The 16,717-nt window shown below is 49.1% G+C and overlaps 1 annotated feature.

The window, feature by feature from the left end:
• Positions 10,760-11,741: an enhancer, noted in NCBI's record as "H3K4me1 hESC enhancer chr17:77875585-77876566 (GRCh37/hg19 assembly coordinates)". NCBI's record gives its function as "activates a minimal SCP1, AML or CMV promoter by ChIP-STARR-seq in naive H9 embryonic stem cells {active_cell/tissue: H9 hESC(naive)}" and the evidence as "EXISTENCE:reporter gene assay evidence [ECO:0000049][PMID:30033119]".

Raw genomic sequence — 16,717 nt, 5'->3', positions numbered from 1 at the left:
GGCACACTGACAACACCTGCGGCCCCTGCTGGGTCCTGGGGGGCACAGGGAAGCCCCGTAGGGGCTGGTTCTCCACAAACTCCCCCACCTTCAGGGCTTTTTCCAACACAAGGCGAAGGGGCCACCCAGCATAAGGGTGGCCACCCTGAGCCCTGGCCCCACAGGGAGTCAGGAGCCAGGAGGTCTGTCCTGACCTCCTCTTGCACCCTGAGAGATACGTGGCAAAAACTCAAACATGGATGTGGCTCCCGTCCCTCCTGCCACACATCCTTTGGCAAATCTGATGAAGAATCTGCAGCCTCTCCATGAACACTGGCCTCCTCGTTGGGTCCCCAGTCAGGTTCCACACAGGAGGCCTGGCCGGGGTTAGGGTGAGTGAGGCTGTGAGCCAGGGTGGGCGTGGTTATGGGGTGGCATGAGCATGGCCAAGGGGCAGGGTGGGCGTGGCCACAGGTCAAGGATGGGTGTCCTGTCTGGTCAGGGGGTCAGCACACTGACTTGCTTGGACAAACCAAGGCCTGCAAGAACCAGGGAGTTTCAGAAACAGAAAGATCCACCTAAGGGCCCGTGGTGGTGGACACCAGATCCCGCTTCCAGAATAAAGGGCTGATTATCAGAAATCAAGTGGCCCTCGGCCATGGGCCCAGCTAAGGGCACACCCCTCTGAGGGCAGGGGCTTCCAAGGACCATTGAGGCTAATATGAAGGCCCAGCCCTCTTTCCCCAACTCGGGGTAGTGCTGGGGGCCTCCTGTCTACAGAGCTCCTGCAAGATGGATGCAGTTCCTCAGGACTGACTGCGTGGCCGCTGCCTCTGCCCTCTGCTGGGTCCTGCCTCCTGATGCTGTTCTCCGCACAGGAATCCAGAACTGATTACCCCCCCAACCAGGAGTCTCCCTGTGAGTCTGCTGCCCAGGGCACCCCCAACCCTGCAAGCAAACGACAGGACTTCACAAAGGTCCACCCCACTCACCCTCAATCCTGAGAACAGATCCAGACACCTGCCTCAGTTTCCCCAACAGCATATTCAGCCTCCAGGATGTCTGTACTGGGTTGCCTGGTGGTCCCGACAAATTCCTGTCCACCCAGAACCTCAGGAAAGGAGTTAATAAGGTCTTTGCAGAGGTAATTAGTTAAGGATCTTGAGACATGGCCATCCTGGATTTCAGGTGGACCCTAAACCTCATCAGTGGTGACCTTGTAAGAGGAGGGGAGGACACAGAGACTGCCACACACAGGGAGAGGAGAGAGGCAGAGACTGGAGTCATGCACCTACAAGTCGAGGCATACCAAGGGTTGCCTGCAGCCCGGAGAAGACAGGAGAGAGGCCCAGAACAGACTCTCCCTCCGAGCCGCAGGAGCCTGCCCTGCTGGGCCCTGGACCTGGGGCTCCTGCCCCCAGAGCTGCGAGACAGTAGATTTCCATTGCTGAGGCTGCCTCATTTGTGGTAGTTTGTTAGGGCAACCGCAGGAAACTAATGCAATTTCAGAGGCAAAATCATCTAAAGACATAAAGATGTAGTCTGTCCTGCACAAGCCTGTTTGCCACCTTTTCCCCAAGACATAGCATTTGGTGCGGAACTGTCTCTGAAGCACCAGGATGGGGCGGGGCAGGGCGGAGGCCCGAGGCGGAGGGTGAAAGGCCTCTGTGCCATGACATGGCTGGGTTTTTTCATTAATTCATGTGTTTTTGTTTTTACAGTCCCCTAAACCCTCTGGGGTGGATTTTATCCTGAAAGTGCTTTGGAGTCTCAGGCAGGAGAGAAAAGAGAAGGAATTTGAGTTATAGAAAGAATTCTCTTGCAACCGTGGCCGAGTGTTTGTGGGAGGAAAGCTGGGAGGATGAGGGCCACACGTTGGAGGGTGTCTAACCGTCTGTGTTAGCACTGGACAGCCACTCCCCGAAGGACCCTCAGTCCCAGCCAAGCCAGCTCGGTGGGTCAGCCTGGCTGGTCTGGAGGCCTTTACGGTACATCAGGTAGAGAGACAGAGGCTGGCAAAGGACGGAGCAGACTCTGGGAATGTTTGGGGACAATCAACAGATCTTGGAGGAGTCAAGACTGCAGGAGGAAAACATTCATTTTGGCCACGTAGAGACTGAAGTTCCAGCGGGACACCTGGATTTCAGGACAGGCCTGGGAACTGCCATCACAGAAATAATAACGCAATGGAATTCTAAGAAACATGAACGGCCAAGGCAGCCCATGAAGTCCTTCCTGACTTGTGTCACTTCCCTGTATCAGGCAAGCACTCACGCTGACGTGATGGCATAGAAGGACAGGGAAAGGCGGGACCCGCTCCGGCTCTTTTCCTCTCAGCCCTTCCTTACTCATAGCCAGCCCCTGCCAAAGGCTGCTACCAAGACTGGAGTTGAAACCAGGGGCCGCAGGGCCGGGGCACTGAGGGCCCTCACCCACGCGGGCAAACGCCCCGAGCCTTGGGTAGTGGGCAATGCAGGGAGAGGTGATGAGAACTCAGCCATTGCCCAGCACCACGGGCAGACCAGGGAGAGCCGCTCTGCCTTGGGGTTTCAAGAGCTTATTTTCTGATACATGAATCAAATGAGAGTGAAACGAAAATGTGGCAGGGCAGTATGAAAAGGGGGAAAGAATAACCTGTCCGTGGAAAAACCTGACACCTCCCGCTCAGCCAGGTGATCCGGGCCCACATCACAGCCGCATGGTGGGTGAGAGCTCGGACCCTTCACGTGGTGGGGTGAGAAGCGCACTTCACCTCCGTGCTTCTGGCCCCGGAGAAAAACCGAGACACATCCCAATAGAGGGACGGTCTGTAAAACCCCTGACCAGGCTGGGCGCAGTGGCTCACGCCTGTAATCCCAGCACTTTGGGAGGCCAAGGCGGGCGGATCACTTGAAGTCAGAAGTTCGAGACCAGCCTGGCCAATATGGTGAAACCGTGTCCCTACTAAAATACAAAAAAAAAAAAAAAATGTTGGGCATGGTGATGCACACCTGTAGTCCCAGCTACTCGGGAGGCTGAGGTAAGGAGAATCGCTTGAACTTAGGAGGTGAAAGTTGCTGTGAGCTGAGATTGCACCATTGTACTCCAGCCTGGGTGACAGAGCAAAACTCCGTCTCAAAAACAAACAAACAAAAAACACAAGGAAAGTCCGAGTACTGTCACAGCCAAGAGGAGCCTGGAGACCCGAACACTGCATGTCATGTGAGATCCTGGAAAAGAAAAAGGATAATAGGTAAAAACCAGGGCAATGTGGAGAAAGTGTGGACTTTAACATCAATGCTGGTTCTTTAATTGTGACAAATTTCCCACATGAATGAAAGGTATTAATGGGAGGGGAAATGGTGTCAGGTAATGAGAACTCTGTACAGTCTGCAACACTTGTCTGCAGGTCGAAAACCATTCTAACATGAAAAGTTTACTGTTTCTTTTTTAAAGCAACGGAACATCATTCAAAGAATACAGATAGTTTACAAGAGAAGAAATACAAATGAATCAACAAACGTGATAAAATCCTCAATCTTAGTGATGATTTAATACAAATAAAAACAGCAATGAGGCATTTTTGCCAAGATGCAAAGATCTAAAACTCTGATAATATCACATGTCGGAGGAGGCATGCGGAAACAGGTGTGCACTGTGGCAGGTGAAGAAATAAATTGGTAAGGTGTTGTTATCTCTTATAATATACAATCTTCATACACTGTGAGCCAGCAACTCCACTTCCAGAAACTTCACCCATAGAAATATTGGGACAGAAACATTTACTCAAGTGCACGAAGATATTTGAAGCAGTATTGTTTTGTAAGGGGGAAAAATTGAGGAAAAGGGAGTCTATGAAAAGAAAATTGGCTAAATAAATTTTGATACATTGAATGAAATGTTATACATTCTCTTAAAAGCACTAAGTATATTTTTAAGGAATATGTAAGGCATATTCTTGCATAGTATGATTTTTGAGCTATGTTATTAAGTTAAAAAAAGGAAGTTGTAAAACATTTCAATAGTGTGTATACACATAGGTGTACGTGTGTATAAACAGGGCTGATGTTGCAGGAACACAACGGCTGTGGTCACACAGGGCCCCGAGCCCAGAAGGACCTGTGCTTGGCTTAATGCCCTGCCACTGCCAGCTCAAAATTCTTAATAATTTTATCTTTGTTGGGTGCAATGGCTCATGCCTGTAATCCCAGCACTTTGGGAGGCTGAGATGGGGGGGGGTCACTTAAGCCCAGGAGTTCAAGACCAGCCTGGGCAACACAGTGAGACCCCCATCTTTACAAAAAATAAAAAATATTAGCCAGGCACAATGGCATGTGCCTGTAGTTCCGGCTATTCAGAAGACTGAGAAGGGAGAATGGCTTGAGCCTGGATTTTTGTTTGTTTGTTTGTTTTGTTTTGTTTTGAGACAGAGTCTTGATCTGTCGCCCAGGCTGAAGTGCAGTGGTGCGATCTCCGCTCACGGCAAGCTCCGCCTCCCTGGTTCACGCCATTCTTCTGCCTCAGCCTCCCGAGTGGCTGGGACGATAGGCGCCCACCACCAAGCTTGGCTAATTTTTTTGTATTTTTTTTTAGTAGAGACGGGGTTTCACCGTGTTAGCCAGGATGGTCTCGATCTCCTGATCTCGTGATCCGCCCGCCTTGGCCTCCCAAAGTGCTGGGAGAGCCTGGGAGTTTTTGTTGTTGTTGTTGTTGGTTTTTTTTGAGACAAGAGTTTCACTCTGTCATCCAGGCTGGAGTGCAGTGGTGCAATCTCGGCTTACTGCAATCTCTGCCTTTCGGGTTCAAGCAATTCTCCTGCCTCAGCCTCCCGAGTAGCTGGAATTATAGATGCCTGCCACCATGCCCGGCTAATTTTTTTTTTTTTGTATTTTTAGTGGAGACGGGGTTTCGCCATGTAGGCCAGGCTGATCTCAAACTCCTGACCTCAGGTGATCCATCCACCTTGACCTCCCAAAGTGCTGGGATCACAGGCATGAGTCACTGCGCCCAGCCAAGCCTGGGAATTTGAGGCTGCACTCCAGCCTGGGCGACAGAGCAAGACCCTGTCTCGACATAATAACATAATAATAATAATGATGATGATTATTTTATCTTTGAGCTTGTGTTTTGCAACTGAGGTCTCTGGGGTGGTGGAGCGCACGTGTGGGCAGAGACTCACAGGACGTGCCCTACTGCCATATCACATTGGCAAAGCCCCATGAGCACAGTGTCCCAGCAGACCCACGCCCGTGGGTGTTCAGTGAGACTCAGTGAGCAAGGTGAACATATCATGTCTGCAGCTGAGGACGAGGGGACCCAGGTGGTTCCAAATGCCCACGCTTTCTGTTCCAACCAGAACTTGCTTCAATCACAGAAATAATAACGCAATGGAATTCTAAGAAACATGAACGGCCAAGGCAGCCCATGAAGTCCTTCCTGACTTGTGTCATTTCCCTGTATCAGCCAAGCACTCACGCTGACGTGATGGCATAGAAGGACAGGGAAAGGCGGGGCCCACTCCGGCTCTTTTCCTCTCAGCCCTTCCTTACTCAGCAGGAGGCTGGAGGCGGGGAGTGTTGGGAGAATGTGCATCTCAAGAAGTGAAATACACGCAGCTGAGTCTGGTTTGTGGGGCGTCTCCACTCCGCTGCTAAACACGAAGTACGTGTCCATGAACAAGCTACGCAACGGGGGTTGTGAGGTTTCAGCGATTCCACATGAGTTAAATGCTTTTGTATTTGCCATTAAAACTGTCATTGCACCTTATAAAGGCCAGTAGTGAAATATGCATGTAATAATTTAAAGTTTTAATTTTTCTTTACTTAGAGTGGCCTAAATTAGCAAATAAAAGCACTGTAAATAGAGAGAGACTCTGCAGAGGGAAGAAAAGGGAAGGCCTCCTATTTCAGTGCCTTTAATGGCTCTTTTTCCTGTTTGGAGAAAAGGGTTATCTACATTGAGCAAAGCAAAAATCCCAGACCAACCGTGGCAGATGGCAGAGGAAGAGACCAAAGGCTGAGAGACGTGGCGGGGCTGGAGTGGCGTTCCACGTGAAGGCTGGACACTGCACTCAGCACCTGTGTTCCATGGGAGACTCAAGCAACGAGGGACATGGGGAGGGGAGACACACTGGAAAGCCCGTCTGTGGGCAGGACTGCCTGTAGGAGGTGCTGGTACAGCACAGGCTCCCAGACACCAGTGGGGATGGTAGACCCCCAGGACAACCTTACAAATTCCCATAAAAAAGCAACAAGGGCAGATTGGCAGTGCAGTGAGGGTGCTGACCCAGAGAGAGCTCTGAGGGTGGTTAATAGAACGCAATGTCCCAGCCGGGTGCGGTGGCTCACGCCTGTCATCCCAGCACTTTGGGAGGCCGAGGTGGGCGGATCATCTGATGTCAGGAGTTCGAGACCAGCCTGGCCAACAAGGTGAAGCCCTATCTTTACTAAAAATACAAAATTAGCCAGGTGTGGTGGTGCACGCCTCTAATCCCAGTTACTCAGGAGGCTGAAGCAGGAGAATCGCTTGAACCTGGGAGGCAGAGGTTGCAGTGAACCGAGAACTCACCACTGCACTCCAGCCTGAGTGACAGAACGAGACTCTGTCTCAAAAAAAAAAAAAAAAAAAAAAAGAGAAAGAAAGAAATTAAAAAAGGAAAGAGAACACAGTGTCTGGCCAGGCGCGGTGGCTCATGCCTGTAATCCCAGCATTTTGAGGGGCCAAGGTGGGTACGTCACGAGGTCAGGAGTTCAAGACCAGCCTGGTCAAGATGATGAAACCCCGTCTCTACTAAAAATACAAAAATTAGCTGGGCATGGTGGCAGGTGCCTGTAATCCCAGCTACCCAGGAGGCTGAGGCAGGGAATTGCTTGAACCTGGGAGGCGGGGGTTGCAGTGAGCTGAGCTGGGTGACAGAGCAATGGGAGAATGGCTAGAGTCTGGGAGTTTTTGTTGTTGTTGTTGTTTTTGAGATGGAGTTTCAAACAAAACAAAATAAACAAACAAAAAAGAACACAGTGTCCCAAGGGGTGTGATAGGCAGCCAGGAAGGGGGCTGCTTCACTTATACAGCTTCAAGGAGCCAAGCGTGGACAAAGGAGATGGAGGGCAGATGCTTATCAAAGTCATGGTCCCCAGCCCAGTTTTCAGACCTATGGCAATTCTCAGATCCAAAACGCATCGGCTAAGGAGAGGCTAGGTTCCATGTGTAACCCCATGAACAGTGTGTATGGTCATGACTCCCCCATCCTTCTGCAGGGACCTGGGCCGCTGACTTAGGTTACCACACATAGAGAAAGGGGACCATTCACACAATGTCTGAGTTGATACTTGGGGACTCAAAGTGTAAGCGTGGTCTTTCTGTTAGAGTGTGAGGGCCAAGTGATAAATATCACCCTGCCCCAGTGGCTCGCAGCAGGTTCACTGGCACCAGGGACCCATCCAGTGGTCATTTCCTGGTCCCTGAATGTAAAGTTGGTGTGGACATAACCTCTGCCCTCGTCCGTTCATCCCAGTAAGAGCTGTCAAAACGAGGAAGGCAGGTGGAAGCCTTTGTCACTGCACCCCTGGTGGGCAGCGTTAGTCCGTGCAGGGCGCTGGAGCAAAATACCATAAACTGGGTGGTGTAGAAACAACAGAAGTCTATGACTCACACTTCTGGTGGCTGGAAATCCAATATCAAGGCTCCAGCAGATTCAAGGTCTGCTGAGGGCTCAGTACCTGCTTGATAGATGACAGATTCTCACTGTCTGCATGGAGGCGGAGGATGAATGAGAACCCTTCAGTCTGTTTTATGAGGGCACTCATCCCTTCCAAAGGCCCCACCTCTTAACACCATCACCTTGGGAGTTAGGATTTCAACACATGAATTGGGGAGGGGGGGGACAAAAATATTCGGAGCATAGCAGCAGAATATTGGCCCTCCAAAGAAGTCCCCACTTGAATCCCCAGAACCTGTGGCTATGTCACCTTACATGGCAAAGGGGAATGAAGGTTGCCGTTGGAATTAAGGTTGCTAACCAGCTGAGTTTGAGATGGAGACATTGTTTTGGATTACTTGGGTGGGCCTAATGTAATCACAGGGTCTTTAGACTTGAAAAAAGGAAGCAGAAGAGTAAGAGGGAAGTGTGACCATGGAAGAAGTCGGAGCGATGTCGTGCGAGGAGGACTCAGCCTAGTGTTGCTGGCTCGGAGGATGGAGGAAGGGGTCATGAGCCATGCAGGAGGCTTCGAGAAGGGAGAAAAGGCAAGAAAACAGAGTCTTCCCTACAGCCTCCGGGAAAGAACATAGCCCTGCTGATACCTTGATTTTATCTCCGTGAAACTCGTTTTGGGCTTCCGAGCTTCAGAACTGTAAGATAATAAATCTATGTTGTTTGAAGCCAATGTTGTTTCAAGTGTATGGTGCCATGTTACAGCAGCAATAGACGTCTAATACACCACCACCCCCTAGCTAAGACTGTGCATACACAAAGTGTTGCATCCTTGGGGGAGCCGCGGAGATTGCGCCACTCTCAGAGACCTCAAGGTTGCAGGACGTGCAGTCCTCCTGCACACCCAGACATTGTGTGAATGGTCCCCTTTCTCCATGGATGGTGACCTAAGTGGCCACAGGTCCCTGGGGAAGAACTGGGGGAGTCATAACCGTACACACTGTTCATGGGGTTGCATATGGAACCTAGCCTCTCCCTAGCCAATGAGTTTTGGATCTGAGAATTGTCATAGGTCTGAAAACTGGGCAGAGGACCATGACATTGATAACTGACTAGACTCTCTCAAAAGCACAGATAAATCCTGGAGGCTAACAGTAGACTGCAAACCCAACTAAGTGGTAGCCCCAATGGCAGCTGTTCTTCCAGATGTGACATCTCGGCTAACGCAGAATGACATGGCCACAGGTCCATGATTGGCAGCCATTGACCCGGCAAGTGCGTTCTTTTCCACCCTGATCACAAAGGAGGCCAGAAGCAGGCTGCATTCACATGGAATGGACAACAGTAAATGTTTACTGTGTTGCCCCAGGGCTCTGTTAACTCTCCTTCCATCTGTCATAATACAGACCTAAGGGACCTGGACTTCCAGGAGAATACCATGGAAGTCCACTATACCGATGCTATCACATTAATGAGATAAGATGGGCAAGAAGCGGCTAGTACTTTGGAAACCTTGTAAGACACCTGCACTCTAGGGACAGGAGATAAAGCCTATCAGGGACCGGGTGCGGTGGCTCATGCCTGTAACACATTGGGAGGCCAAGGTGGGCGGATCACCTGAGGTCAGGAGTTCGAGGTCAGCCTAGCCAACATGGCAAAACCCTGTCTCTACTAAATATACAAAATTTAGCTGGGTGTGGTGGCATGGGCCTGTAATTCCAGCTACTCGGGAGGCTGAGGCAGGAGAATCGCTTGAACCCGGGAGGCAGAGGTTGCAGTGAGCCGAGATTGCGCCACTGCACTCCAGCCTGGGTGACAGAGTGTGACTTCATCTCAAAAAAAAAGGCCTACAAGGTTTGTATGGGTCCGGATGTCTAAGGCATGCTGAGACATTAAAAGTAGACAAATACCCGCTCCCACCGTGGAGGGCTGCTTGGAGATTACTTGGACTCTGGAGGCAGCATGTTCTGTACTTGGGAATCCATGAAAGGCAGCCAGCTTTGAGAGAACCCACAGGTGGAAGGGGCTCTGCAGTGGGGACAGCTGTGCCACCCAGGCCACATGGCTCTGCAGACCCGATGGTTCTAGAGCTTGTGCAGGAAAAAAGATGCCATGCATTGCTGATGACAAGCCCCAACTGGAGAAAGGCCATGCCATTTGCAGCAGAGAATTATACATAGTTTGAAAAACAGCTCCGGGGCCCTGCTGGAGATGGAATGTTTGGCTATCAACCATCAACAGGCACGCAACTAGAATTGCCTGTCATGAGCTGGGTCTTTTCAGACCTGCCAAGCCAGAAGGTCAGGTAGACCCAGCAGGATCCACTGTGAGATAGAAATTGTCCATCAAGGCCGGGCGCGGTGGCTCACGCCTGTAATCCCAGCACTTTGGGAGGCCGAGGCGGGTGGATCACCCGAGGTCAGGAGTTTGAGACCAGCCTGGCCAACATGATGAAACCCTGTCTCTAGTAAAAAAAAATACAAAAATTAGCTGGCTGGTGTGGCGGGTGCCTGTAATCCCAGCTACTCAGGAGGCTGAGACAGGAGAATCACTTGAACCCGGGAGGCAGAGGTTACAGTGAGCAGAGATCATGCCATTGCACTACATCCTAGGTGACAAGAGCAAAACTCAAAAGAAAAGAAAGAAAGAAAAGAAAGAAAGAAAGAAAAAGGAAAGAGAGAGGGAGGGAGGGAGGGAAAGAAAGAGAGAGAGGGAGGGAGGAAAGAAAGAAAGGAAGGAAGGAAGGAAGGAAGGAAGGAAGAAAGAAAGAAAGGAAAGAGAGGGAGGGAGGGAAGAAAGAGAGAGGGAGGGAGGAAAGAAAGAAAGAAAGAGAGAGAAAGAGAAAGAAAGAAAGGAAAGAGAGAGGGAGGGAGGGAGGGAAAGAAAGAGAGGGAGGGAGGGAAAGAGGGAGGGAGTAAGGAAAGAAAGAAAGAGAAAGAGAGAAAGAGAAAGGAAAGAAAGAAAGAAAGAAAGAAAGAAAGAAAGAAAGAAAGAAAGAAAGAAAAGAAAGAAAGAAAGAAAATTGTCCATCAAGATCGAGAATGAGCATGACTAGAGGCAGAAGCAAGCTACCCTTGCTACCCTCAAGAGTCTGGGAGGTGGAAAGTGAAAATCCCCACATTGGACCAAGGGACCTATTGATGGCCAAAGGGCTGTTGGAGTAGACCAGGGGTCCCCTGACTCTGTCACACGCTGCACCACCCAGAAGCCACTAGTCTCATAGTGTGATGCAACAGCGTTTTGAAGGCATGGCTAAGATGATGCAAGGATGTGACCTCAGCCTCCTAGATGCAGAATACACCTGAAATCAACAACCATTCTAGGGGCGTGTCCCCAGTAGGCAGAATGCATTGATCCAGGAAGCAGGGGGTGGAAGGAGGAATGTCTCCATTTACTGTCACTCCAGTGGTCTCCCTGGGGGAATTTCTGCCTTCCAACCTCACAACTCTAGGTTTGGTGAGTCTGCAAGACCCGATTCCCAGAGCGGTACCCTTCCAGCAGGATTTGCATCATGGGTCCCATTACACTTGGCACTACGGCTGCTGGCTGAGCACTTCGGGCTTCTGTGCCAAGGAGCCAGCAAGCAAGAAAAGGAGTCACCATCTTGGCAGGGGCAGCTGACCGTGGTCCGTGGGGAGAAAGGGCTGCTGTTCCCTAGCAGGGAAGGGGAGAATGGGAGGGGTGAATCCAGCAAAGCATCTCTTCTCACTCCCATGCCCAGTTTTTACAGCAAATGCATGAAGACAGCAGCCATAGCTTGAGAGGACGTGGTGACCTGGGGCTCATAGCCTTGGCATTCGAGTCTGGGTCCCCCCACCAGGTAAACCACCTAGCCAGCACAGGTACTCACTGAAGGTAAAGGGGCTCTTGGGTGGAGAGTGGAGGGGAAGATGACATCACCTCTGGGTGCCACCTGCAGTGGCGGGAGCTTGAATCTGAACCATGCACTCCCCTCTGTGAGTTTCCCCAGGAATAGAGACGAGAGTGGGCTGAATGGTGACCCCCTAAAAAGATAAGCCGAAGGCCTAGCCCCAGGAACCTGTGACTGTGACTTTATTTAGGAAAAGGGTCTTTGCAGGTGTAATTAAATTAAGGATTTCGAGATGAGATTGTCCTACATGACGAAGTGGGTCCTAAATGCAATGACAAGTATCTCTGTAACACAAAGAAGAGATGGCACAGACACAGAGGCGAAGACCCTGTGACGGCAGAGGCAGAGATTAGAGGGACGAAGTCCCAGACCCGGAGCCCCAGAAGCTGGAAAAGGTGGGGAAGGATCCTCCCCTAGAGCCTCTGGAGGGACGCTGCCCTGCTGACACCTTGATTTCAGCCGTCAGGCCTCCAGAACTGTGAAGAATACATCTCTTTCCTTTTATGCCAAGTTTGTGGTAATTTGTTGCAGCAGCTCTGGGAAGCGAATACAGGGACCAACCAGAGTCCTGGAGGTGTTGCTTCGGATGGGATGGAGTGAGCTTGCCACACGGAAGTGCATGCTGCTGGGGCGAGGGGCAGGGGTGTGGACGCTGTGCTGTGCTGCCCACTGTCCCTCCTCAGGACCTGGGTGCTTATCCTCAGCTGCAGGAGGGTTGCCCCTGGCTGAGTCCCTCCCCAGGCACTGCCTCCCTTAAGGCTGCACTCCTCCAGGGCTGGCTGATGTGATGGGGCAAAGGCCAGGGCCTCTGGCCTCAATCAGGCCTCTCTGTGGGGCCGCCCCAGCTCCAGAGCTCCCTGTTGGGAGCAGAGGCTGCTCTTCCCACTGCACTGTGGCCCAACTTTGCCCTCTGCCCAATCTTTTTTTCTTTTTCTTCTCTTAGGAAGGGTCTTGCTCTGCCACCCATGCTGGAGTGCAGTGGCGCGATCTCGGCTCACTGCAACCTCTGGCTCCTGGGTTCAAGCATTCCTCCCACCTCAGCCTCCTGAGTAGCTGGGACCACAGGCACGCACCACCACTCGTAGCTAATTTTTGTATTTTTTTAAAGATGGGGTTTCACTATGTTGCCCAGGCTGGTCTCGAACTTCTGAACTCTAGCGATCCACCCACCTCAGCTTCCCAAAGTGCTGGGATTACAGGTGTAAGGCACTGTACCCGACCTTCCTCTGTCCAATCTTGCCTACCTCGGCCTCCACAGGTGTCATTCCCAAGAGCACCCCACTAAACCCATGGTGCACAGGCCTTAGAGTCTCAGAGTCTGATGCCCAGGAACTGACCCATGAGGGATCTCAACCCAGAGAGGAAAAGATGATGATGTAATAAATGGTGATGGAACGGCCCAGACATCATCAAAAAAAAAAAAAAAGCTGAATCCAAACCTTGCACCTGACACCAAATAAACTCCAGATGGCTCAAAAATCTAAGAACCTACAGAGAGCTCCAAGAAAGCATGGAGGAATTTTTAAACGATCTTTCCAAATCTTACTCCAAAACCAGGTGCTGTAAAAGAAAGAATAATACATTTGATTGTAATTACTGTATTATTTTTTTAATATTCAGAGCAAAATTCACCATAACCCAATTCAGAAAAAAAAAAATTAAAAACTGAGAAAAAGATTTGCAATCTATCACACAGGATCATTTTCTTTAAAAAGTGGAATTACAAATCAGTTCTAAAAATCAATAACTCAATAGAAAAATGGTCAAATGATATCACCAGGTCAAAGACAAGGAAGTACATATGGTTCTTGAACACATTAAAATAGCTCAACTTCACTTTTTAAAATCGAAGTGAAATGGACTTAACAAAATCGATCATTTTACAGTGAACAATTCAGTGACGTTAAGTTAAGTACCTTCAAGTTGTTGTGAAACCATCACCTCTATCTTGTTCCAAAATATTTTCATCACCCCAAAAGGAAATTTTGTATAAATAGAATCATACAAAATGTAGGCTTTTGTGTCTGGTTTCTTTCACACAGTTATGTTTTCTGCGTTTCAGCCATGCTGTGGCATGTATCCGAATTTCATTCCTTTTTATAGCTGAATAATATTCCATTGTGTGGACAGACCACAGTTTATTCATTTATCCATTGATGGCATTGGGTTGTCCTCACCTTTTAGCCATTGTGAATAATGCTGCTATGAATGTGTGTGTATCTGTCAGAGTTCCTGTTTTCAGTGCTTTAGGGAATATACCTAGGAGCGGAATTGCTGGGCCGTCTGGTAATTCTATGTTTAACTTTTTGAGGAAATGCCAAACCAGTTTCCACAGCAGCTGCACCATTTCACATTCCCACCAGCAATGTATACAGGCTCCAATTTCTCCACATCCCTTGCCAACCCTTGTTATTCTCTCTTTTTAAAAAATAATAGCCATCCTAGTGGGCGTGAGGTAGTGTCTCATAGAGGTTTTGATTTGCATTTCACCAATGATTGTGACGCGGGACATCTTTTCATGTTTCTTGGCCCTTTGTGTACCTTCTGTGGAGAATATCTATTCAAGTCGTTTGCCCGTTTGTTAATTGAGTTGTCTTTTTGTAGTCAAATCTAATAGTTCCTTACAAATTCTGGATACTAGATACTTATCAGATACATGATGATATGGGTTGGCTCTGTGTCCCCACCCAAATCTCATCTCAAATTGTAATCCCCACCTGTCGAGGGAGGGACCTGGTGCGAGGTGACTGGATCATAAGAGTGGTTTCCCTCATGCTGTTCTCATGATAGTGAGTGAGTTTTCACAAGATCTAATGGTTTAAAAGTGGTTGACACTTCCCCTTGGATCTCTCTCTCCTGCCACCATGTAAGACAAGCCTCGCTTCCCCTTTGCCTTCCACCATGATTGTAAGTTTCCTGAGGCCTCCCCAGCCAAGCAGAACTGTGAGTCAATTAAACTTCTTGTCTTTATAAATTACCCAGTCTTAGGTAGTTCTTTATAACAGTGTGAAAATGGACTAATACATATGATTTGCAAATATTTTCTCCCGTCCTGTGGGTGGTCTTTTCACATTCTTGATAATGTTCTTTGATTCACAAAAGTTTTCATTTTGATAAAGTCCAAGTTATCCATTTCTTTCTTTTGCCGTTCACACTTTTGGTGTGTCATCAACTCTGCTTAATAAGGCAAATAAAAATTAAAACTATTCTGAAATACAAATTTTCAGTTATTTATTTGGTAAGGATCAGAAACTTTGATTACACACTTCATTGGTGGGTAAACACGTTTCTCATGCATGTAAATTAGTACAACTTCTGTTTTAAAATATTTTTAGAGACAGGGTCTCTGTCAATGTAGTGGCATAACCATAACTCACTGCAGCCTCGACTTCCTGGGCTCAAGCGATCCTCCCACCTCAGCCTCTAGAGTAGCTGGGACTATAAGCATGTGCCACCATGCCTGGCTAATTTTAATTTTTTTTTTTTGTAGAGACAGGGTTTCACCATGTTGCCCAGGCTGGTCTCTAATTCCTGGGCTCAAGCAATCCTCCCACCTTGGCCTCCCAAAGTGCTGGGATTATAGGCGTGAGCCACCACACCCAGCCTAACTTCGTTTTTTTTGTTTTGTGTTTGTTGTTGTTGTTTGTTTGTTTTGAGACCGCGTCTCACTCTGTCGCCCAGGCAGGAGTGCAGTGGTGTGATCTCAGCTCACTGCCACCTCTGCCTCCTAGGTTCAAGCAATTTTCGTGCTTCAGCCTCCCGGGTAGCTGGGACTACAGGCACCTGCCACCACGCCCAGCCAATTTTTGTATTTTTAGTAGAGACGGGGTTTCACCATGTTGCCCAGGCTGCTCTGGAACTCCTGAGCTCAGGTGATCTGCCCACCTTGGCCTCCCAAAGTGCTGGGATTACAGGCTTGAGCCACCGTATCCAGCCTAACTTCTTTAAATTGTCTCTTTGATTCAGCAATTCCAGGTCTAGGAATTTTTCCTAGATGCGCCGGCACACTGAGAAATTGTGTACCTGCAGCTGGTGTGCACTTACAGACACTGCCACGTCATTTGTGTTATCAAAAGTAGGAAACCACCTAAAGGCTCATCAGTGGTAGTACAGTTTAATAAATTGTGACATCTCCCTACAATGGACGATTTGGGAGCTGTCAGAGAAATGAGGACGCCCTTTCTATTCTGAGATGGAGCAATGCTTAAGGACACAAGGTGAAGCAGCCAGGTACAGAGGTTTGCGTGCCCTGGTTTGTGTAAGCAGGGCAAGGGGAAAGTAAACAAATCCACACACTCATTGCGCATTCATGGGATATCTGTGAACAGGGACAGAAGAGAGAGTACTGGCTGCTCCTGGAGAAGCCCCAAGGTGGTGAGGGACAGACAGGTTTGGCTTCATGAGCATGACACCTGCAAAGCCACAAAGCCTGGCTCCAAAGGGCCCCGTACACGGTTTAATGCTCTCCTGTCACTGTCTTGAAATTCCTGATTTTTTTTCTAATTTTTTATTGTGTTAAAATATGCATAACTTAAAATGTACTATTTTAACCATTTTTAAGTGTGCAGTTCAGTGGCATTAAGTACATTCACATGGTTGTGCAACCTTCACCCCCATACATCTCCAGAATTTTTTTTTTTTTTTGAGACAGAGTTTTGCTCTTATGACCAAGGCTGGAGTGCAATGGTACAATCTTGGCTCACTGCAACCTCCACCTCCCGGGTTCAAGCCATTCTCCTGCCTCAGCCTCCCGAGTAACTGGGATGACAGGCACCTGCCACCACGCCCTGCTAATTTTGTATTTTTAGCAGAGATGGGGTTTCACCATGTTGCCCAGGCGGGTCTTGAACTCCTGACCTCAGGTGGTCCACCTGCCTGGCCTCCTAAAGTGCTGGGATTACAGGCGTGAGTCACCGTGCCTGGCCCAGAACTCTTTTAATCTTTCCAAAACTGAAAATCTGTCCCCATGAAACACTGACTTCTCATTCTCCCTATCCCCAGCCCCTGGCACCCTCCCTTCTACTTTCTGTCCCAATGAGCTTGATTATTCTAGGTACTTCTAAAAAGTATTGTACAGTATTTCCTTTGTGTCTGGCTTATTTCACTTAGCATGTGAATGTCCGTGAGGTTCATCCATGTTGTGGCATTTGTCAGGTTTTCCTTCCTCTTTGAGGCCGAATCATATTCCATTGTCTGGATAAGAGCATTTGTTAATCCATCCATCTGTCCATGGACAC

This window comes from Homo sapiens, chromosome 17 (genome assembly GCF_000001405.40).
Source record: "Homo sapiens chromosome 17, GRCh38.p14 Primary Assembly".
Lineage (NCBI taxonomy): Eukaryota > Metazoa > Chordata > Mammalia > Primates > Hominidae > Homo > Homo sapiens.
Note: the sequence above shows the minus strand (reverse complement) of the source record. Positions and strands in the feature narration are given on the sequence as shown.